General features: G+C 42.4%; 1 protein-coding gene and 2 pseudogenes across 3 annotated transcripts, besides 1 other annotated feature; 2 read left to right on the top strand and 1 right to left on the bottom strand.

The window, feature by feature from the left end:
• On the top strand, positions 1-14,686 carry FOXO3B (forkhead box O3B). 2 transcript variants are annotated; one of them, NM_001368135.1, is made up of 4 exons: positions 1-111; positions 469-700; positions 1,486-1,574; positions 9,260-14,686. In NM_001368135.1, exons 2-4 carry the CDS (start codon positions 664-666, stop codon positions 10,004-10,006), a joined length of 873 nt encoding a protein of 290 aa, NP_001355064.1. In that variant the 5' UTR covers positions 1-111; positions 469-663; the 3' UTR covers positions 10,007-14,686. The 2 variants fall into 2 exon arrangements, with proteins under 2 accessions (NP_001355064.1, NP_001355063.1); NM_001368134.1 differs by having other exon boundaries at positions 382-700.
• On the top strand, positions 1-23,886 carry ZNF286B (zinc finger protein 286B (pseudogene); annotated as a pseudogene). The gene is made up of 4 exons (NR_160540.1): positions 1-111; positions 469-700; positions 1,486-1,574; positions 19,088-23,886. The product of NR_160540.1 is annotated as a zinc finger protein 286B (pseudogene) (transcript).
• Positions 6-511: an enhancer, noted in NCBI's record as "H3K27ac hESC enhancer chr17:18585117-18585622 (GRCh37/hg19 assembly coordinates)". NCBI's record gives its function as "activates a minimal SCP1, AML or CMV promoter by ChIP-STARR-seq in primed H9 embryonic stem cells {active_cell/tissue: H9 hESC(primed)}" and the evidence as "EXISTENCE:reporter gene assay evidence [ECO:0000049][PMID:30033119]".
• UBE2SP2 (ubiquitin conjugating enzyme E2 S pseudogene 2) lies at positions 4,403-5,054 on the bottom strand (annotated as a pseudogene).

Raw genomic sequence — 23,886 nt, 5'->3', positions numbered from 1 at the left:
GTAGTTCCGGGCGGAATGAGAGCAGCACGCCTGGCTCCGCTCCTTCTTACTCATGCGCGACTCCGAGCTGGCCAAAGAAGTTCGTCCCCTTTGTGAGGCCCGGGATGGGAGGTGAGTTGCTTGTGGTGATGTCTCTCGTCTCGGCTCGGCCTCGGCGGTAGTTCCCCGGGTCGTTCTGTGCCGAGTCGGGGCTAGAGTGCGCGTTTGTTAAAGGGGCCTCGAGGGCAGACCATGAGCCCTGTCCCTTCTCACTCTGGCCTGATCCTCTCCTCGGGGGACGCGGTTGTGCCACGGGCGGGGTGGTCGCGGGGTCCTGGGCCAGTGCCCCGAGCGCGGCAGAATTTGTCCAAACTCCTGATGCCCCAGCGTCACCTCTTCCAGGCGCCCGGTTCCCCCAGGGACAGCTTCAAGCGGTAGGGACAGACATCTGAGGACCCAGCCTCAGGGATGCTGTCCCCGGGCTTCCAGGCTCCAGCGCCGTAGGACTGAGGCAGACTCCACGGTGAGAAAGAGACCCGATCTAACCCAGGCCTTTCATCAGAGCCCAGGAGGGAAGGCAGGAAGTGGGACCACGAGGCCCGGGGGGCTTCTAACTCGTCTGGCCAGGGAGATCTGAATTGGGGTGAAGAGCAGAATCTCCAGAACAAGGAGGAGGTGGTGATCATGGAGACAGATTTGGCTGAAATGCCTGAGAAAGGAGGTGAGAATTGCGGACGTGTTGAACTTGTAGCGTGGAAGGACGAAATTCCTGCTCCTGAAGGGAAAACGGTTGGCTCAGGGGAGGTGGCTCTTGGCTGGCTGTCTCCATTGTCTTGGGGATGGATGGGCTTTTTAAGTGAGACTGAAGAGCTTGGTATGGGAGCACCGCCCTTTCCATGGCAGCTGGGCACACAGTGGACCCTTCAAAGCTACCCCCAAAATGTGAGTGAAATGTTAACTTCTATGGCAAGAATTCACCTCTTTGGTTGTCAAAAATGTTTTGTTTTACATAGGAGAAAACAGGCGTAGTAGTTAATGACTGACTTCCATTCTACCTGACCAGTTTCGTGAAGGTTGTGCTGTGACCTCCTACACCAGAATTCCCCCTGGGGTGGTTGTTAGATTTCTGGATTGTACCCCAGGCTCAACTAATGCTTATTACTTTGAGGTGGGGTCCAGCAATCTACATTATAAATAAGCTTTCAGAGTGAGAACCAACGAGTATAGATTAAGCTGGGAAATTTACTGACATATTCTAATTTCTAGATCAGAGGATGCCATCTTACAGAATGTGTTATGATTATAGCAACTGAATTCGAGCCCAGAGTAGCAATATTCCCGCATATCCCGGGAAGAGGGTCCTGGGAGGAGGTCGGTTGTTTTGGGGGTACCTTCAGTCTCAGTGTTTGTAGGCAGCACATATAGTATGTTGAAGCGGTTTTTAGACTTTAAATCTGAGTGGCACATTAAGCCTAGGTCTCATCATTACTGCTTTCTTGTCGTTAGTTCTGTCTTCCCAGGATTCTCCCCATTTCCAAGAGAAGAGCACAGAAGAGGGAGAAGTGGCTGCTCTGCGCCTCACGGCCAGATCCCAGGTGAGTGAGTCTGCTGATTATTGGAATTACACCTTGTTTCTTAGAGTACAGATGCACTCCCTTCTTTGTGATGTGGAGTTTCTTTATCCACTAAAGCCCATCTGCAGAGCTGAGTTCTAAATCTAAGAGACTAGTCAGGAGACTAATGGACTCAGAAGAAAATGTTTTCTACTTATAACACTGGATGGATTTCTTCCCTATTTAGTGTTTATTGTCCCTCAACAGATAGGTAAGCAGCATTTCCCTTTCTTAGCCTCCTATGCTCATTTCTGTGCTTGGTAATGTGAGAAACTATTTTAAATATAATGTGGCACATACCTCTTAAAACTTGTTTCTCTAGAGGAAACAGCATGTATGTGACTTTAAGTGGCAATCTAAGAAAGCACTTAAATGCTGAAGTGATTGTAAAAATAATAAATACTCACATAGTTCAAAGAAACACTGGAAAAGGAAAGCCTATGAAGGCGTAATTTAAAGAGTTACAGTTAGAATCCAGCCCTCTGAGATGACGAAAGCTAAGGTATGATCATGCCTGCAACTTACTTTTATATTGTTGGCCCCTCTCTCCCAAAAGGTAAATATGACAAATATTACGAATGTTTGGCTGGGCGTGGTGGCTCATGCCCGTAATTCCAGCACTTTGGGAGGCCAAGGCAGGTAGATGACTAGGTCAGGAGATTGAGACCATCCTGGCTAACACGGTGAAACCTCGTCTCTACTAAAAACACAAAAAATTAGCCAGGCATGGTGGCACGCACCTGTAGTCCCAGCTAGTCTGGAGGCTGAGGCAGGAGAATCACTTGAACCTAGGAGGTGGAGGTTGCAGTAAGCCGAGATCGCACCACTGCATTCCGGCCTGGGCAATGAGGGAAACTCTGTCTCAAAAAAAAAAAAAAGAATTTTTGAATTTAGGCGGTGATTGTACTATATCAGTGATTATTGCATTCATCTTTCAACTTTTGTATGTTTGAAACTTTTATTAAAAGAAGTTAGGGCTGGGCACGGTGGCTCATGCCTGTAATCCCAGCACTTTGAGAGGCTAAGGCGGGCAGATCACCTGAGGTCAGGAGTTCAAGACCAGCCTGACCAACATGGTGAAACCTCGTCTTTACTTAAAATACAAAAATTAGCTGGGCGTGGTGGCGCGCACTTGTAATCCCAGCCACTCCGTAGACTGAGGCATGAGAATCACTTGAACCCAGGAGGCAGAGGTTGCAGTGAGCCCAGATAGGGCTACTGCACTCCAGCCTGGGTGAGAGTGAAACTGTCTCAAAAAAAAAAAAAAAAAGTTGAGGAGGAAAAAAGGAGCTTTCCATGATGTGTGTGGCATACCACAACCCAGAGATTCCTCAATCAGCCTTTCTCTTTGCTTCTGTAATCCAAAGTGTAAAAAGTAGATACTGCACATTCATAGTGTTTGTAAAAGTCACTTCCTTTATGTACTTGCCTGTCTCCATTGGCTTCTCAACTGTCTTACATTAGTCTTGAAGACTTTATTAGTCAAGAAGCTTTAAGTTGCAGCGGATAAAATCAATTCAAATGGGTCTAAGTGAAAAGAAGTAACTATTGACTAACAAACTGAAAAATCTAGGTCTGGCTACATATAGGGCTCAAACAAGAATGTTAAAACCTAATTCTTCATTTTACTGACCTTTGCTCTCCATGGGTTTTATGGCCAAACAAGTTTTTCTCCTAGTGTTGGCCTCTAACGAGTTTAGGCTTACATCTTCCTGTGTTGAAGGCCAGAGAAAAAGGGCAGATTCTCTTCTAGTCATTCTTGCAGAAGTGCTGGGATTGACTCTAATGGGGTATTAGGCCCATTCCTGGATGAGATATTGGCCAAATTTAAGTGTAATTCTTTATAGAATATACCTACACACACACACATTCACGTGCACGCACAAACATCCCACCCGTGAGTCAGAGATGGCGTCAGTACTACCTGAGCTACACAGATTCAAAGTGGCCAGGCATAGTAGCTAGGGGAAAATTAGGGCACTGGTACCAGAAGCGTGAATATATATTTCAATACTTTGATATCAGATTCAACACTGTTAACAGCATCAAGGTGATTGAACCTATTATGGAAAATTTTTAAAACTCTCTTTGTTCTTTTTGCATTTTATTAGATTTTTAAAATGCAATATTGGAGCTTTTTTTCTTGTTAGAATTTGCCTGGGCTATTTTTTACCTTTGATTTGTTAGATTTTTAAAAATATTAAAAGTTTTAGTTCTTCAATGTAATAAAGTGAACAACACAGACATACAGAAATGTAAAGGTAATGCTACTTCCCCCTCAAATTCAGTCCCTGCCTCTCTCTACTATGTATATTTTTTCACATTTTTTGTTGTACTTGCACTACTGTATTCAGACATATGGTATACTATATTTCCTTCCATCTACCCACCAGTACCCAACCCAGCAATAATATTTTGTTTTGATGGCCTATTCTGTATATAGGATGTGGCTTTTTAAAAAAACCTTTTTATAAGGGAAATTTGCTCATTCACATATAATACATGTGTTTCAAACTTTTCTTGCCATGTGATTTTTATAATTCTGTTTCCTGTGCTTTATTGTTTCCTCTTTTGTAGTTTTCCTGCTGTTTGTGCAATGGTTTGCATTTTTGTTGTTCTGGCTTTTTCTTCTAATTTTTGGGCACTTAATCTCCACTGAATGTTGATTTAGTTATGTATATGCAGATTCTAGGCTAAAGGTCATTTTTCCTCATAATGTCTTTTCTACTTAGGGGCTACTTAGTGATTTTTACATATTATTTTATCTTAAGGGAATAATTCTCTTCTTTCTTTTTTTTTTTTTTTTTTTTTGCTTTTCCAACTTTATTTAGAAAAACAAATCCAGGTCTCAGTGCCCCCTGTACCCTCCCCGACCCCAGCCATAATTTAAATAACTTAGAGACAGAGTTGGAGGGAGGGGACAGGAGAGGTTGGGGTCACGGTGGAAGGAGGAAGAGAGCCCACTACAGCCGCCGTAGCGCCCGCTTCTTGTCCGTCTTTTTCTTGGCCGCCAGCTTCTTATCGCGCTCGCCAGCATGCTTCTTGGCCATGGGACCCTCAGCCCCTCCCAAGCCCCCTGGGGCCCCAGAGTCGGTGGAGGAAGCTGCAGTGCCACTGGCCAGGGCCCGCCCGGCTTTGGCCCTGCCGCTGGGCCCGCCGGCGCCCCCGTGGATCTCTGTGAGCAGACGGGCCCGAGCCGCATACTCCTCGTAGTTCTCCAAGAGCAGGCGGCCCGCCTCCTCGTTGAGTGCAGACTCGGGGTTAGGGTGGATCAGCAGGCACTTGATGGTCAGCAGTACGTGTCGGATGCCCAGCTCAGCCGTCCAGTCCCTCTTGAGCACGTTGACGCACATCTCGCCATTGGCGCCCAAGTTCGGGTGGAAGATCTTGGTCAGGAAGTAGCCCTTGGGTGGGGAGGCAGGGAAGTCCTTCCCCAGCAGGAGTTTCATGCGGAACAGACCTTGTATACATACAAGTAGACTTGTTTTATCAGAGGATAGATACATACTCACTGTTGGTAGATAGTGCCAAAGAGGTTTCTAGAGTCATTGTACCAATTACATTCCCAGCAGCAGAATATGTGCGTTCTAGTTGTTCCACATGCTTGTCAACACTTAATATTGCTTGTTTTCATTTTAGCCATCCTTTTGAGGTGTGTGATATCTTTTATTTTTTAAGAAATAAAAATATTACATATTCAGTTAAAGCCCTTTTATTCTCAGCTGGGTGTGGTGACTCACGCCTGTAATCCCAGCACTTTGGGAGGCCAAGGTGGGTGGATCACCTGAGGTCAGAAGTTTGAGACCAGCCTGGCCAACATGGTGAAACCCCGTCTCTACTACAAATACAAAAAAATTAGCCGGGCATGGTGACAGGCACCTGTAATCCTAGCTACTTGGGAGGCTGAGGCAGGAGAATTGCTTGAACCCAGGAGGCAGAGGTTGCAGTGAGCCGAGATCATGCCATTGCCCTCCAGCCTGGGCGACAGAGGGAGACTGTGTCTCAAAAAAAAAAAACAAAAAGCAAAGAAAAGAAACCCTTTTATTCTCTTTCTCCCCTAGAAGTAACCATTATATCTTGAAATTGGTGTGAATCATTTCGGTGTTTGTGTATGTGTGTGTATACACAGAGATATATACATATGTATGTAAAACAATCTGTATGTTTTATTGTTACACTTTTTCTTATGTAGTCTGATTTTTTAAAGTTCACATTGTATTTTGATATTAATCTATGTTAATATATATGAATTATGTTTATTCATTTTAACTACTGTGGAGTCATAAGTCCACTGTATGAATAAACTGAACAGTTTATTTTTTTGCCATTAGTAGCAGTTGCAGTGATCATCCTTTTTTTGATTCCTTATGTTCATCTTGAGAGCTGGTTTAGGGAGATAACTGGAAGAAGAATTAGTAGGTCTTAAATCATCACATGTTTAGCTTTACTAGGAACTGCCAACAGTTGAGTTATCAGACTTGTTAATTTTTGTCAATCTGATGGATGCAAAATGATGTTTTAAAATTTTCATTTCTCTGAGTGATAAATACAAGTTTGAGCATTTCATGTTACTTGGCTATTCAAGTTTCTTGTGAGTTACCTGTTGATACCCTTTGCCTGTTTTTTGAGATTGGGCTGTTTATATCTTTTCTCTTGATTTGGTGGAGTTCTTCATGTATTTTAGGTACTAATCTATGACAGAAGTAGCATTGCAAGTCAGTGAGAAGAAATTGGTTCTTCTAATCTTTGGCTTATTTTATTTTCTGGTGTGTTAGGCATATAGAATTAAACATTTTTAATAACAAATTTTTTTTTAAATATTGCTTTTTGTGAATTGTCTATCTACTTTATCCCAGTGTCAGAAAGATTATTTTATTCCAAAATGTTCAATTTTGTTTTACAGGTATTTATTTTTGTATATGATGAAATGGGAAAACTAATTTTGTCTTTTTCCGTGCTGAAAGCCAATAAGTCCAGCATTGTTCATGGAATAATTTTATGTTACTGATTTGTAATGCTACCTGTGGTAAACCCAGTTCCTCAGCATACTTAGTTCTGTTTCTTGTCTCTCTGGTTTACTTGTCTGTCTATGTCTAATACCAGACTGTTTTATTTACTATACTTAGTATTATATATAGCTCATAAAGAAAATCCTTCCTGGATATTATTATTTTTAAAAAAGTTATACTTTTGAATATTGAAACAGTTTAAAAGTCTTTCCCTGTGATTATGGATATATCTGTTTCACCTCAGAGACCTATCAGTTTCTGTGACTTACCACTCACCACCCATCTCCCTTTTTTGGGGTATTGCAGTTTTCATAGTGATCTGTTAAGAGGTCCTTATATATGAGGTTTTTACCTTTTCTTATGTTACAGATATTTTTTGTAGTTTTTGACTTTCAGTTTTGCTATGCATTTTGATGTACAAGTTTAATTTTTTATAATCTTTTTTTTTCTGCCTTTTCAGTGCTGCTTAAAATGTGTTTCATTAATCCAAGGTTACATATATATTTGCCTCTGTTTACTAGTGTATTCTTTAATTTTTTCTTTAGGTTCTTAATCCATTTGGAATTACTTCTTACTTCTCTGAGTGTATCTTCTTAGCCTTCTTTTTTGAACAATTAAATATTCTAATTACTCAAAATTTGATTTTAATCTCCCTTCCTTTTGTATACCTGGAGTCATAAACTTGAGTACTTACATGGGCCAGGAGGTAATATCACTGAGTTAAGCAAGCAAAGTGGAAACTGGTGAACCAGAGGAGTACAGGCCTCAACTGAAAGGAGTAGCTCTAGCTCAATGGCTGGCAAGCTTTTTATGTAAATGGCTAGACAGTAAATAATTACGCTTTGTGGGACATGGTGTCTCTGCAGCCATTCGATCTTCCACAGTAGTATGAAAGCAGCCCTAGAAAATGCATACATGAATGGGTATGTTCCAGTAAAAATTTATTTAGCAAAGTAGGCAGCAGGCTGTAGTTGCCAATCCCTGCTCTAAATGGTGGTTGTCGTTCAGTACACTTCCAGTTTTTTTCAAGAGAGAAACCCTAAATTTGCATTTGTCTGTAATCTCCCCCCCCCCTTTTTTTTTTTTTTGAGATGGAGTCTCGCTTTGTTTCCCAGGCTGGAGTGCAGTGGTGCGATCTTGGCTCACTGCAAGCTCTGCCTCCTGGGTTCACGCCATTCTCCTGCCTCGGCCTCCTGAGTAGCTGGGACTACAGGTGCCCGCCACCACACCCGGCTAATTTTTTTGTATTTTTAGTAGAGATGGGGTTTCACCGTGTTAGCCAGGATGATCTCGATCTCCTGACCTCGTGATCCGCCCTCCTTGGCCTCCCAAAGTGCTGGGATTACAGGCGTGAGCCACTGCGTCCAGCAATAATCTCCCTATTTTTAACTGTGTATAACTAGTTTTAAAAGTTTGTATAAAAAGTGTGGCCCAAAGAAAATGTGTCTAAGGTCTGATTTGGCCAACTGATCAACTGTTTGCAGCCTCTACTTACTACTTCATTAGTCTCATCATTCCCACAACCAGTTACCTTCTATCAAGATGAGTCCCAAATTGGTATTTCCATCCTAGAGCTCTCCTCAGGGCTGTTCTCAACATCTTAACTATTTGATTCCTTTGTTTGCTTATGTCAACGATACTTCAATACAACATGTTTAAAACTGAATGTCTAAAATAAGTCTAAATTTCCCATCTCCCCAACAACATCCTTTTCCAGTAATTGTTTTAATGGTACTTATTGTCATCAAATTGTACGTGGTGGAAATCTACGCACAGTCTTTACATCACCCCCTCTCTCCTTTATCCATCACTGTATTTACCTAATTATATTCTAAGTATTTCTTCACTGTTAATTTTCCTTCATATATTTTTTGTTTTCCTGGATTACTGTGATAATCTTTGTGATTCCGCCTTTGCCCTCATATACTTCATTCTCAACATTGTAGTGAGACTGATATTTTCATAATCAAATCTCGTCTTGTCATCACTCTGCTTGGAACATTTGAATGGCTTCTCGCTGCCTTCACGGTAACAGACAAAATCCTGGAGGTCTACAAAATCTTGTGAAATCTGGCTTTTACTCATTATCCCAACCTCATTTCACAACTACTCTTCTTCCATCTCTGTGCTCTAGTGTAGCAGTTCTGAATGCTTTGGCATCAGAGGACCTACTGTAACTATAAAAATTGTTAAAGACCCTAAAGATGTTTCATTTATGTAGGTTATATCTACCAATAGTTACTATACTACAAGTTAAAACAGAAAAATTTCAAGCTATTAGCTAATTCATTTAAAAATAATTGGCCGGATGTGGTGGTCCACACTTGTAATCCCAGTGCCTTGGGAGGCCAAGGTGGGTGGGTCGATTGAGCCCAGGAGTTAGAGACCAGCCTGAGCAATAAAGTGAGACCCCATCTCTTAAAAGAAAAATAGAAATAAAAAATTATAAACATGTCATGTGTTAGCACAGTATATTTTTTTATTAAAAAACATTATTTTCTTTAAACAAAAAGTGTTATTAAGAAGTATGGTCTCCTGTTCCTGGGAGGCGGGCGCGGCAAGACTGGGAGGTGGCGGCAGCGGGCGAGGACTCGCCGAGGACGGGGCTCCGGCCGGGGATAACCAACTCTCCTTCTCTCTTCTCTCGTGCTTCCCCAGGCGGCGGCGGCGGCGGCGGCGCCCGGGAGCCGGAGCCTTCGCGGCGTCCACGTCCCTCCCCCGCTGCACCCCGCCCCGGCGCGAGAGGAGAGCGCGAGAACCCCAGCCGCGGCCGGGCGGGCGGCGAAGATGGCAGAGGCACCGGCTTCCCCGGCCCCGCTTTCTCCGCTCGAAGTGGAGCTGGACCCGGAGTTCGAGCCCCAGAGCCGTCCGCGATCCTGTACGTGGCCCCTGCAAAGGCCGGAGCTCCAAGCGAGCCCTGCCAAGCCCTCGGGGGAGACGGCCGCCGACTCCATGATCCCCGAGGAGGAGGACGATGAAGACGACGAGGACGGCGGGGGACGGGCCGGCTCGGCCATGGCGATCGGCGGCGGCGGCGGGAGCCGCACGCTGGTCTCCGGGCTGCTCCTTGAGGACTCGGTCCGGGTGCTGGCACCCGGAGGGCAAGACCCCGGGTCTGGGCCAGCCACCGCGGCGGGCGGGCTGAGCGGGGGTACACAGGCGCTGCTGCAGCCTCAGCAACCGCTGCCACCGCCGCAGCCGGGGGCGGCTGGGGGCTCCGGGCAGCCGAGGAAATGTTCGTCGCGGCGGAACGCCTGGGGAAACCTGTCCTACGCGGACCTGATCACCCGCGCCATCGAGAGCTCCCCGGACAGACGGCTCACTCTGTCCCAGATCTACGAGTGGATGGTGAGTTGCGTGCCCTACTTCAAGGATAAGGGCAACAGCAACAGCTCTGCCGGCTAGAAGAACTCCATCCGGCACAACCTGTCACTGCATAGTCGATTCATGCGGGTCCAGAATGAGGGAACTGGCAAGAGCTCTTGGTGGATCATCAACCCTGATGGGGGGAAGAGCGGAAAAGCCCCCCGGCGGCGGGCTGTCTCCATGGACAATAGCAACAAGTATACCAAGAGCCGTGGCCGCACAGCCAAGAAGAAGGCAGCCCTGCAGACAGCCCCCGAATCAGCTGACGACAGTCCCTCCCAGCTCTCCAAGTGGTCTGGCAGCCCCACGTCACGCAGCAGTGATGAGCTGGATGCGTGGACGGACTTCCGTTCACGCACCAATTCTAACGCCAGCACAGTCAGTGGCCGCCTGTCGCCCATCATGGCAAGCACAGAGTTGGATGAAGTCCAGGACGACGATGCGCCTCTCTCGCCCATGCTCTACAGCAGCTCAGCGAGCCTGTCACCTTCAGTAAGCAAGCCGTGCACGGTGGAACTGCTACGGCTGACTGACATGGCAGGCACCATGAATCTGAATGATGGGGCTGACTGAAAACCTCATGGACGACCTGCTGGATAACATCACGCTCCCGCCATCCCAGCCATCGCCCACTGGGGGACTCATGCAGCGGAGTTCTAGCTTCCCGTATACCACCAAGGGCTCGGGCCTGAGCTCCCCAACCAGCTCCTTTAACAGCACGGTGTTTGGACCTTCATCTCTGAACTCCCTACGCCAGTCTCCCATGCAGACCATCCAAGAGAACAAGCCAGCTACCTTCTCTTCCATGTCACACTATGGTAACCAGACACTCCAGGACCTGCTCACTTCGGACTCACTTAGCCACAGCGATGTCATGATGACACAGTCGGACCCCTTGATGTCTCAGGCCAGCACCGCTGTGTCTGCCCAGAATTCCCGCCGGAACGTGATGCTTCGCAATGATCCGATGATGTCCTTTGCTGCCCAGCCTAACCAGGGAAGTGTGGTCAATCAGAACTTGCTCCACCACCAGCACCAAACCCAGGGCGCTCTTGGTGGCAGCCGTGCCTTGTCGAATTCTGTCAGCAACATGGGCTTGAGTGAGTCCAGCAGCCTTGGGTCAGCCAAACACCAGCAGCAGTCTCCTGTCAGCCAGTCTATGCAAACCCTCTCGGACTCTCTCTCAGGCTCCTCCTTGTACTCAACTAGTGCAAACCTGCCCGTCATGGGCCATGAGAAGTTCCCCAGCGACTTGGACCTGGACATGTTCAATGGGAGCTTGGAATGTGACATGGAGTCCATTATCCGTAGTGAACTCATGGATGCTGATGGGTTGGATTTTAACTTTGATTCCCTCATCTCCACACAGAATGTTGTTGGTTTGAACGTGGGGAACTTCACTGGTGCTAAGCAGGCCTCATCTCAGAGCTGGGTGCCAGGCTGAAGGATCACTGAGGAAGGGGAAGTGGGCAAAGCAGACCCTCAAACTGACACAAGACCTACAGAGAAAACCCTTTGCCAAATCTGCTCTCAGCAAGTGGACAGTGATACCGTTTACAGCTTAACACCTTTGTGAATCCCACGCCATTTTCCTAACCCAGCAGAGACTGTTAATGGCCCCTTACCCTGGGTGAAGCACTTACCCTTGGAATAGAACTCTAAAAAGTATGCAAAATCTTCTTTGTACAGGGTGGTGAGCCGCCTGCCAGTGGAGGACAGCACCCCTCAGCACCACCCACCCTCGTTCAGAGCACACCGTGAGCCCTCTTCGGCCATTCTGTGGTGTTTTAATATTGCGATGGTTTATGGGATGTTTTAAGTGTTGTTCTTGTGTTTGTTTTCCTTTGACTTTCTGAGTTTTTCACATGCATTAACTTGCGGTATTTTTCTGTTAAAATGTTAACCGTCCTTCCCCTAGCAAATTTAAAAACAGAAAGACAATGTTGTACCAGTTACCATTCCAGGTTTGAGCATCACAAGCTTTTGAGCGCATGGAACTCCATAAACTAACAAATTACATAAACTAAAGGGGGATTTTCTTTCTTCTTTTGTTTGGTAGAAAATTATCCTTTTCTAAAAACTGAACAATGGCACAATTGTTTGCTATGCGCACCCGTCCAGGACTGAACCATGCATAGGCAAAACGAGTGGAGCACAGCGTCCAGCCCAGTGTGTTTCCAGTTCTGAGTCAGGGTGATCTGTGGACGGGACCCCAGCACCAGGTCTACGGGTGCCAGATCAGTAGGGCCTGTGATCTCCTGTCAGTGTCCTCAGCTAATGTGAACAGTGTTGGTCTGCTGGTTAGAAACTAGAATAATGATATTTTCAGGAAAGAAATCAGCTCAGCTCTCCACTCATTGCCAAATGTCACCCAAAAAGGGTTTAGTTTTAAGGAGAAAGAAAAGGAAAAAAAAAAAAAGTCCTGTTTTGCTTTGCAGAACAAATGAACTTACAGGTGAGCATTAAGCTTGCAGTGAGAAATGTGCAAAGAGTAAAAACCCAAGTCAATGCTGAGGCAGTTCCAACTTCACTGTTTTCCTAAATACACATCCTTGATTATTTTCAGCCTTGCTATATAATCTGATCTGCTAGAAGTGTATGAGTGAGAGGCAATAGCATATAAACTGATTTTTTAAATATAAGCTTAGGTTGTAATTGTACAAGCGACTCAATGGAAGTACAAAATAGGGCAGTTTTAACTTTTTTTTCTGCTTCTGTGGATTTCATTTTGTTGTGTTTTCAAAAAGTTATGGTGCTGTATAGGTGCTTTCTGTTTAACCTGGAAAGTGTGATTATATTCGTTACCTTCTTTGGTAGACGGAATAGTTGGGACCACCTTTGGTACATATGAAATTGGTATAACGATGCTCTGATTAGCACAGCATATGCATACTTCTCCAAAGTGATATATGAAGACTCTTTTCTTTGCATAAAAAGCATTAGGCGTATAAATGTATAAATATATTTTATTATGTACAGTACAAAAATGGAACCTTATGCATGGGCCTTAGGAATACAGGCTAGTATTTCAGCACAGACTTCCCTGCTTGAGTTCTTGCTGATGCTTGCACCGTGACAGTGGGCACCAACACAGACGTGCCACCCAACCCCCTGCACACACCACCGGCCACCAGGGGCCCCCTTGTGCGCCTTGGCTTTATAACTCCTCTGGGGGTGATATTGGTGGTGATCACAGCTCCTAGCATAATGAGAGTTCCATTTGGTATTGTCACACGTCTCCTGCCTCGCTTGGGTTGCCATGTTTGAGCGATGGCCCTGTTGATTTCACCCTGCCTTTTACTGAATCTGTAAATTGTTGTGCAATTGTGGTTATAGTAGACTGTAGCACATTGCCTTTTCTAAACTGCTACATGTTTATAATCTTCATTTTTAAAGTATGTATAATTTTTTAAAGTATGTATTCTATTCATATGGTCTGCTTGTCAGTGAGCCAGACTTGCTTACTATATTCCTTTATAATAATGCTAGCCACTTCCTGGATTCTTTAGTAATGTGCTGTATGCAAGAACTTTCCAGTAGCAGTGAAGGAGGGTTGCCTCTCCAAGCTTCCTAAGGGATGCTGCCCTGGGTGGGGATGCATTGCAGAGGCAGTAGTAGCATGGGGGCTAGAGTGGGGAGCGAGATGGAAAAGGGTGGGGGGATAGGAGAATTCTAGAGTGCTTCCAGCATGAGGGTCCTGAGAACTTCTGTCCTGAGTTCAGAGAAACATGCAAAGTAACTAACAAAATCGCTACTTGCCTTTGCAGTTTTACAGACCCAGGGAGCTGCTTTGGGAGTGAGAAAGGCAACCCTCCAATGTGTTTCAACTTTAAAATGTTGAATTCTTTTCAGACATGTGGTATCTCATTTATTCTCCTTTTCTAGCGTTTGTTGAATTTCAGGCAGAATGTCTTACAGAATGTCCTAGAACCAGATTATCATTTAATCCGAAACAGCTGAGGAAGGGACAGAGAAGGTACAAGGGCAAGGCAGCATAAAACAGATCAGGAGAATGAAGAGGGAATGCTTTGGTTTTTTGTTCTGTTTTGTTTTTTCTTTTTCAAGTAACTAAAACAGCATCTACATGTAGAGTGTCGTGGAGAGCTGAGACCAGGGTAAAGTCAAGTGCAGCATCAGTACTGCGAGACCCACCAGCCCCTGGAGAGGGTCAGCTGAGAATCTGGTAGTGAAGCCTGTGTAGGGTCCCGGCACCCTCACCCTCAGCCACCTGCAGAGAGGCCAGGGCCCCAGAGACTAGCCCGGTTCTGAAGTGGGCAGGGGTGCTGCCAGAGCCTTCCGCCCCTTATATTGAGACCCTGCTTTCAGGACAGGCCAGCCGTTGGCCACCATGTCACATTCTGAGTGAGTGTCACGGGTCCCTAACAATAATTTTCTGATCTGGAGCATATCAGCAGAATGCTTAGCCTCAAGGGGCCTGGCAGCTGTAATGTTTGATTTATGATGAGAACTATCCGAGGCCACACTTGGCCTCTAAATAAGCTGCTCTAGGGAGCCGCCTACTTTTTGGTGAGAAATTAGAAGAGTACCTAATGTTGAAAACATGACATGCGCTCTTGGGATCTGCTGTTCTCTCCAGGGCTCCAGAACCTGATACCTGTTACCAAAGCTAGGAAAGAGCTTTATCACAAGCCTTCACTGTCCTGGCATGAGAACTGGCTGCCAGGCTCAGTGTACCCCATTAAATGTGAATGAATCTGAGCTTGGTTTCCTTTATTGCTTCCTCTGCAATATGATTGCTGAAACACATTTTAAAAATTCAGAAGTTTGTCACTCCTGTTAATGGGAGGATCATTCACACATGTGTAGTACAAGGCGGACTTTGTGTTTGTTTTTGGTGTTAATTTTTAGCATTGTGTGTGTTGCTTCCCCACCCTGAGGAGAGGACACCATGGCTTACTACTCAGGACAAGTATGCCCCGCTCAGGGTGTGATTTCAGGTGGCTTCCAAACTTATACGCAGTTTAAAGATGGTGGGGACAGACTTTGCCTCTACCTAGTGAACCCCACTTAAAGAATAAGGAGCATTTGAATCTCTTGGAAAAGGCCATGAAGAATAAAGCAGTCAAAAAGAAGTCCTCCATGTTGGTGCCAAGGGCTTGCGAGGGGAAATAAAAATGTTATCCAGCCTGACCAACATGGAGAAACCCCGTCTCTATTAAAAATACAAAATTAGCCTGGCATGGTGGTGCATGCCTGTAATCCCAGCTACTCTGGAGGCTGAGGCAGGAGAATCGCTTGAACCCAGGAGGCGGAGGTCGCAGTGAGCCGAGATCATGCCAGTGCACTCCAGCCTGGGTAACAAGAGTGAAACTCCGTGTCAAAAAAAAAAAAAAAATGTTACTCATCCTCTCTCAAAGCAAAAAAGAAACCCTAACAGCTCTGAACTCTGGTTTTATTTTTCTTGCTGTATTTGGGTGAACATTGTACGATTAGGTATAATTTAAAAAAAAAAATTTTTTTTTTGGTAGAAATGCAATCACCAGTAAAGAGGTACGAAAAAGCTAGCCTCTCTCAGAGACTGGGGAGGCAGAGTACTACTAGAGGAAGTGAAGTTCTGATGGAATCATGCCTGTCAAATGAGGTCTTGAAGCGGATGCCCAAATAAAAGAGTATATTATATTTTATCTAAATCTTAAGTGGGTAACATTTTATGCAGTTTAAATGAATGGAATATTTTCCTCTTCTTTAGTTGTATCTGTTTGTATTTTTCTTTGATGAATGATTGGTCATGAGGCCTCTTGCCACACTCCAGAAATACGTGTGCGGCTGCTTTTAAGAACTATGTGTCTGGTCACTTATTTCTCTAAAATTATCTCATTGCCTGGCAATCAGTCTTCTCTTGTATACTTGTCCTAGCACATTATGTACATGGGAAATGTAAACAAATGTGAAGGAGGACCAGAAAAATTAGTTAATATTTAAAAAACTGTATTGTGCATTTTGGCTTCACATGTTTAACTTTTTTTAAGAAAAAAGTTGCATGAATGGAAAAAAAATCTGTATACAGTATCTGTAAAAACTGTCTTATCTGTTTCAATTCCTTGCTCATATCCCATATAATCTAGAACTAAATATGGTGCGTGGCCATATTTAAACACCTGAGAGTCAAGCAGTTCAGACTTTGATTTGAAGCACCTCATCCTTCTTTCAATGCGAACACTATCATATGGCATTCTTACTGAGGATTTTGTCTAACCATATGTTGCCATGAATTAACTCTGCCGCCTTTCTTAAGGATCAAAACCAGTTTGATTTGGGAATCTTCCCCTTTCCAAATGAAATAGAGATGCAGTACTTACTTTCCTTGGTGTTTGTAGATATTGCCTTGTGTATTCCACTTAAAACCGTAATCTAGTTTGTAAAAGAGATGGTGACGCATGTAAATAAAGCATCAGTGACACTCTAAAAAAAAAAAAAAAAAAAAAAGAAGAAGTATGGCATTGTTTTACACTTTTGCCAATCTCTTTAATGTATGACATAATAGAAGGTAGCTATATTCTTACAACTGCTTCTGAATGCAACTTGATATGACATGTTGTTTTGGTTGCCATGCATGGAGAAAATCCAGTGTCACGCAGATATAAGTTGAAAAAGGAAGGAGTATTTTATAGTCTTTTCAGGTAATTATGGCTATTCTTCTTTGAAACAGCTCCAAAACTGAACAAGTGATACTTTCTGAAAGATTAGGTACAATGTAGAATCTGAAACCACATCCATAAATTTTTCATATATTGAAATCTATCAATCTTTTGGACAATATTGGTTCACTAAGTGCAGATCTTCTTTGTTGACACTTTATATTGTGCAATATTTTTGAATATTATAACTTTTAGTATCACAACTGACCTTATCAGAAAAGCCTTTAAGTTTTAGGAAGCCATCAAGCTCTCGGTGGTAAATAGAAGTTTTCCAAAACTTGTAATTTCTGCCTGAAAGCTCAAATTTTATAAAAAACTCATTTGTTGTCCTTGATACAACAGGTTCACTTTGTTCATTTTTGAGAAACTGTCTGCCAGATACCCAAGTTAGATAACATAGTTTGCCATTCAGTCATCCTTTCAGGTAAAATGGTGGTCTGTGAAACAAGTGGCTGGTTCAGCTCACAACTCAAATGATTGCATGGTATATTTCCTCAAGACGACCATTGTTCTTTGGTATAAACAGAATTGCTTTGCGAATATTTCCTATTTCATTAACCCTGAATATTAAAAAGGCACTTCAAGGATTAAAATTCAATGAAATTAATGTTTATGCTTCCTTAGACATTTTTAAATAAAACTGGCTTTTTTTTTTTTAAACCAAGAGTACATGATGGGGAAGAATACAAGGACTACTAGTAAGTTTAGTATCATTGTGTTGATTTGTGCGAAGTTGTAAGCAATTTTACCACTACTTTTACGACATCATTGAAAATGTTGAGACAATGAAAAAGGCAAATAACATCTAAATGTTATTTTGGAAGCAGTTTTGAACTTATAGTTTCCCAGGGGTTCATGGACCATACTTGAGGATCTTTACCTCTACCTACCTATACAAGCCTTATGTCAATTTATGTTTTATTTATTTAACAAGCACTTAATGTAGCACTTATGCTGTGTCAGAGTTTTAAATGCTTCATAGATATTTGCATTAATGCTCATTAAGGTAGCTATTGCTATCATTCCTTGCAAGACGGATACTGTTATTGCCCTCTCTTACACATAAGGAAACCGAAGTAAAGAGGTTAAATAACTTATCCAGTATCACACAGCTAGTAAGTGGCAAAACTGCAATTCAGATTTTGCTCATGAATGTTAGATTAAATTTTCTCTTCCTCTATATGTATAGTGACTGTTTTTTCCCAAGTGACTAGTTCAGAGCCTAGCACATGGAAGATATTCTATAAATATTTGTTGAATAAAATGGATAGAAGATGAATAGATAGATGAATGAATATAATTTATTTGAGTGTATGAAATGAGTGACTCATCTAACTTAATTTTCTTCTAATAGTTAATCAGTTGCCATGGCATCATTGGAAAAACAAATCTATGTTTTGTTCACTGACTGAAATACCACCTTCATATTATCTTTAATTCTTACATATACTTTATTTCTGTATTTGCTCTTCTATTTTACTCCTGTTTATTTCTTTGAACTACACTGCTTAAAATATTTTCTCTATATAAATTAACTTTATATTGGATATAAAAATTCTACTATATTTATATTAGATATATTTAGAGAGGTTAAGCTTCCATCTCTGCCCTCTCTCCTGTGTTCTGATGTTTTCCCTATAGGTACAAATTTTTATTGGTTTTCCATTTATCCTTTTTTTATTTTTTTTTAAATGTAAGCAAACAGTATAGGTATTTGTACCCCTTTTTTTTCTTTATAAAAAAGTAGCAAACTGTGCGTGCTTATTTATATCTTGCTTTTTCCTTTTAAACTTAATATATCCTGGTGGTCACCTTATAGCAATATGTAAAGATCTTTGTCATTTTTTAAGGAGATGGATAGTACTCCATTGTTTGTATCCACTATATGTTCAATCATTTCTGTATAGTAGGATATGTGAAATGTTATCAGTCTTTTGCTACCTGAATTAGTGCTTCAACAAATAGCCTTGTGCATATATCATTTCGTATATTTGTCATTATGCCTTTGGGAGATCATAGGAGGTTTTTGATCAGCAAAATGTTATAAAAGCATTGTTAGGAAGATTAAACTGGCAATGGAATACATATTTGGATGTGAGTAGGATTGGAATAGTGAAAATTTAGAAGCCATAACTGTACTGTACACTAAGATGGTTGTGTGCCTAGAAATTTATTACAATAAGTAGGTATTCTATAAAAAGTTATTTCTTCCCATCCTGATCTGTGTACTCATTGTCTGCTCATCCATGGATATATTGCTTCATCGGCATCTCTACTCTTATATTTTTTGTCATCTTTCTCCTCTTCCGACTCTCCTGGATAGGATGTACTTATTTTCTCTGCATATTCTGAGCATTTGTTTCCCTCCCTTTGTTTCTCTTTGCAAGTCATCTGAAAGAGTCAAATCCACTTGCTCCTTGAAGGCATGCTTTTCACTTTCATTAACTCTTACCTATTACAGAACTGCCTTTTTGTTGAGCACAGAAAACGAAGGAAATTTGCATTTCCAATGTCCTTCAGACGTGGAGACTAGACCACAGAGCAAGGATTCAACTTCAGTGCAAGATTTTTCCAAAGCAGAATCATGCAAAGTTGCAATAATAGACAGACTGACACGGAATAGTGTCTATGACTCTAACTTGGAAGCAGCCCTTGAATGTGAAAATTGGTTAGAGAAGCAGCAAGGAAATCAGGAGAGACATTTGAGAGAAATGTTCACTCACATGAATTCACTCTCTGAGGAAACAGACCATGAGCATGATGTATACTGGAAAAGCTTCAATCAGAAATCTGTCCTTATCACTGAAGACAGAGTTCCCAAAGGATCTTATGCCTTCCATACACTTGAAAAAAGCTTGAAACAAAAATCAAACTTAATGAAAAAGCAGAGAACTTATAAAGAGAAAAAACCTCATAAATGTAATGATTGTGGTGAACTCTTCACCTGCCATTCAGTGCATATTCAACACCAGAGAGTCCATACTGGAGAGAAACCCTATACCTGCAATGAATGTGGGAAATCTTTTAGCCACAGAGCTAATTTAACTAAACACCAGAGAACTCATACTAGAATTCTCTTTGAATGCCGTGAATGTAAGAAAACCTTCACAGAAAGCTCATCCCTTGCAACACATCAGAGAATTCACGTTGGAGAGAGACCTTATGAATGCAATGAATGTGGGAAAGGTTTTAATCGAAGTACACATCTTGTGCAGCATCAGTTGATTCATACTGGAGTGAGGCCTTATGAATGTAATGAATGTGATAAAGCTTTTATTCATTCATCAGCACTCATTAAACATCAAAGAACTCATACTGGAGAGAAACCTTATAAATGTCAAGAATGTGGGAAAGCCTTTAGCCATTGCTCATCCCTAACTAAGCATCAGAGAGTTCATACTGGAGAAAAGCCATATGAATGCAGTGAATGTGGAAAAACTTTTAGTCAGAGCACACATCTTGTTCAACATCAGAGAATTCACACTGGAGAGAAACCCTATGAGTGTAGTGAATGTGGGAAAACCTTCAGCCAGAGCTCCAATTTTGCTAAACATCAAAGAATTCATATTGGAAAGAAACCGTACAAATGTAGTGAGTGTGGAAAAGCCTTCATTCATTCATCAGCTCTTATTCAACATCAGAGAACTCATACCGGAGAGAAACCCTTTAGATGTAATGAGTGTGGGAAAAGCTTTAAGTGCAGTTCATCTCTCATCAGACATCAAAGAGTTCACACTGAAGAGCAACCCTGAAAAATTACTGAATGTGAAGAAATGTAAGTTGGTTTTATCACTATATTAAATACTTGAGTGTTTAGGTGGAAGGCCCATCCATAATATGCATGTGAGGACCAATTCTATATGCATCTAATTTCATTTGTGTAATACATAGTTTTGAGCCATAGGCAGGTTCTTTATGTCCGTTAATTTGATAATTATGAAATCTAGCCAGCGATTTCAAAATTTTAATCTCCAACCTCCCAAATAGCTATCTGTGGAAATTCAAGAAGTCCCTGAGAGTGGGTAGCAGTACAAACATTGTGAAATCCAGTTTTCCCCTCTCTTGTTTATGTCAGAGCTTTGTTGTAAGCCTCTCACTTTGTAAGGAAATTCTTATTGGGTAGGTTAGGCTGAGGGCTTACATCCTTATCATCAGGAAGACACAATGTTGTTATTTATTACTCCTTGAGATCTAGATACACATATGGTATAATTCATCTAGAGTGTCATTTCTTTTATATTAGCCTTAAAAACCAAAAATGCTGGGTTCAAAGTCCTTAGCATTCCCTTCCTCCCTCAACAAGCTGCTGTCTATTTTGATGACCATAACTAGGATGTATAATATTTACAGACAATTCTAATTTATGTTCACATGGATTATGTACATCATTGATTTTTTTTTTTTTTTTTTTTTGAGACAGAGTCTCGCTCTGTTGCCCGGGCTGGAGTGCAGTGGCGTGATCTCAGCTCACTGCAACCTCCACCTCCCAGGTTCATGCCATTCTCTTGTCTCAGCCTCCTGAGTAGCTGGGACTACAGGCACCTGCCAGTACGCCTGGCTAATTTTTTTTGTATTTTTAGTAGAGATGGGGTTTCACCATGTTAGCCAGGATGGTCTTGATCTCCTGACCTCGTGATCTGCCTGCCTCGGCCTCCCAAAGTGCTGGGATTACAGGCGTGAGCCACCATGCCTGGCATCATCATTGATTTATGTCATTGTTATCCCTCTACCGCGGAGACCTTCTTTCATTTTCCATTTCCCTGGGAGTTCACGTGAAGTAGTGAATGGGTCAAAATCTTAACAGTGGTTGTTGATCAAGTCCTTCCTTTCTTATCCTTGGCACTGAATAAATCTTTGGTTTTCCATAATCAAAGGGTGAGGGAGACTTCTTTTGTCTACATTATTCAGCTTTCTGAAAGCTATGCTGTGTCCATTTGAGAAAAAGCCCCAGGGATATTGAAGGTCTGAGAAGTTGAGTGGTTCAGTGTGTTATTATATTTAGGGTCCCAGTAAAGAAGAACTGAAGCAACTGTGAGACACCAGGGCATACTTCCCTGTATGAGTGGAAAACAAGGTACGGAAAATAGCTCACAGGATAGTCCTCAACTGACTTGCTTGAGGATAAGCAGCTTCCCTTCATGAAGAAGTTGCCATTTCTCTGGCCTTCATATTTACCTACTTTTTGTTATTGTTATCTGTATCGGTTCAATCTCACACTGCTATAAAGAAATGCCTGAGACTGGGTAACTTATAAAGAAAAAAGGTTTAATTGGCTCATGGTTCCATGGGCTGTACAGGAAGTATGACTGGGGAGGTCTCAGGGAGCTTTTACTCATGGCAAAAGGCAAAGCCAGAGCAGGTATCTTCACAGGGCTAGAGCAAGAGGAAAAGAGAGAGGGGAGGTGCTACACACTTTTTATGCAACCAAATCTCATGAGAACTCTATCACGAGACAGCAGTAGGGGGACAGTGCTAAATCATTCATGAGAAACTACCTGCGTGGTCCAGTCACCTTGCACCAGGCCCCACCTCCCACATTGGGGATTACAATTAAACATGAGATTTGGGTGGGGATACAGATCTAAACTGTATCATTACTCAAAAAAAAAAAAAAAAGAAAAAAGAAAGAAAACACAGGAAAAGGAACTCACCTCTTTTATCATCTTAGTATTTAGTACTAATGGTTTAGAGCAGGAGTTGACAAACTGTGGCCTGGACTCATGGACCAACTCTGGCCCACCACCTGTTTCTCAGAAGAAAATTTTATTGGAACTCAGCCACACTTACTCATTTACATGTTGTCCTTGACTGCCTTTGTGTCCAGTGTCAGAACTGAGTAGCTGCAGCGGAGGTTGTGCCTCTGGGCTTTAATATCACAAACAGAGCAGCTTATAAGCAACAGAAACTTACTTCTCACAGTTTTGGAGGCTGGGAAGTCCAAGATCAAGGTGTCAACATATTTAGGGTCTAGGGAAGGTCTGCTTCTTGGTTAATAGAAAGCACCTTTCACTGTGTCTTCACATGGTAGAAGGGGAGAGCTCTGGTATCTTCAGGCCCTTATAAGGGCACTAATCCCATTCATGAGCGCTCCACCCTCACGACCTAATCACCTCCAAAAGGCCCCATTTCATAATACCATCAATTAAGTTTCATTATATGACTTTGATGGGGATATAGCCCATAGTAGGTTCTATGTCCCTGAAAGCCTAAAATATTTACTGTTTGGCTCTTTACAGAAAATATTTTCTTGGCCCCTGTTCCAGAGCATTCATCAAGAAGTCAGATAAAGGGTTTAAACCAGTCAGAGAAAGTAGGTGGAATGGAAAAGTTGAACTTACTGAGAGATAACTGGGGACAGAAAAATAAAAGAGGTGGGAAATGATGCATCAAAATACTCCTACCTCTAGGATGTTACTATATATTGTCAGGAGAATTCAAGTTATTGAAACTTGCCAAATTCTTGAGTGAAAAGAAATTCATTTGAGGGCCAAAATTTGACTAAGGAAAGAAGACCAACATGGGCTTTCCAAAGTTGAGTTTGAATTCTGCCATCCCCACTAAGCAGTCATGTGACCTTGGAAAAACTCCCTACTCTGAGTCTCAGTTTCTTTATCTGTATTAGGTTTCAACAAAGGGAATAAATCATTGGCTTCTCATGAGGTTGTCATAAGGATTAAATAAGACAATGCATACAAAAGAACTGGCAGACAATAAATATAGAGTCCCCCACTCCTGCTTGGTGCTCTCTTTCTCTCTCCTTCTCTACATAGAGAAGTGCCAGAGCATCCGTCAGTAGAAGTTACTTAAGGTTGGCTGTGTCTTCCACATCTTTTGTTTACCCATGAAGAACTGTGACCATCTTGTTCTGTGGCTTGTCATAAAGATGGGACGTGACTTCTTTCTGCTCTTGCTTCCATCTGGTGCTGTTTTCTGCACAGCCTCCTTGAGACCTTCCAGAACCTTCTTTTTTCCTACTTCGTATCACTTAACCAGTAGCTATCTGGGATGGTTCCAGAGGCTGAAGTTTGCAGTTGAATAACATTTTAAATAGTGTTAAGCGACTTGGGATCTCTGGCCCTTTGCGTTTCAGTATTTGTCCTTTTTATGCCTGATGTTTAACCTGCCACATGTTTGTACTGCAACATGAATCTTGGAAATTTTAATGTTATGCATTTCAAATGTTTTTGGTTATCTGTAAACTAAATGTGCCCTTATTGGCTCACTTGTCAATAAAGATGTTTGTATATGTTTTGTCAGAAA

Source organism: Homo sapiens, chromosome 17 (genome assembly GCF_000001405.40).
Source record: "Homo sapiens chromosome 17, GRCh38.p14 Primary Assembly".
NCBI lineage: Eukaryota > Metazoa > Chordata > Mammalia > Primates > Hominidae > Homo > Homo sapiens.
Note: the sequence above shows the minus strand (reverse complement) of the source record. Positions and strands in the feature narration are given on the sequence as shown.

Excerpts from the sequence above, each read along its gene's own strand:
- FOXO3B (NM_001368135.1), top strand. The coding sequence starts at position 664 with ATGGAGACAGATTTGGCTGAAATGCCTGAGAAAGGAG. Across the intron at positions 701-1,485 it reads TGAAATGCCTGAGAAAGGAG|TTCTGTCTTCCCAGGATTCT; the intron begins GTGAGAATTGCG and ends TCTTGTCGTTAG. Across the intron at positions 1,575-9,259 it reads GCCTCACGGCCAGATCCCAG|GCGGCGGCGGCGGCGGCGGC; the intron begins GTGAGTGAGTCT and ends GTGCTTCCCCAG.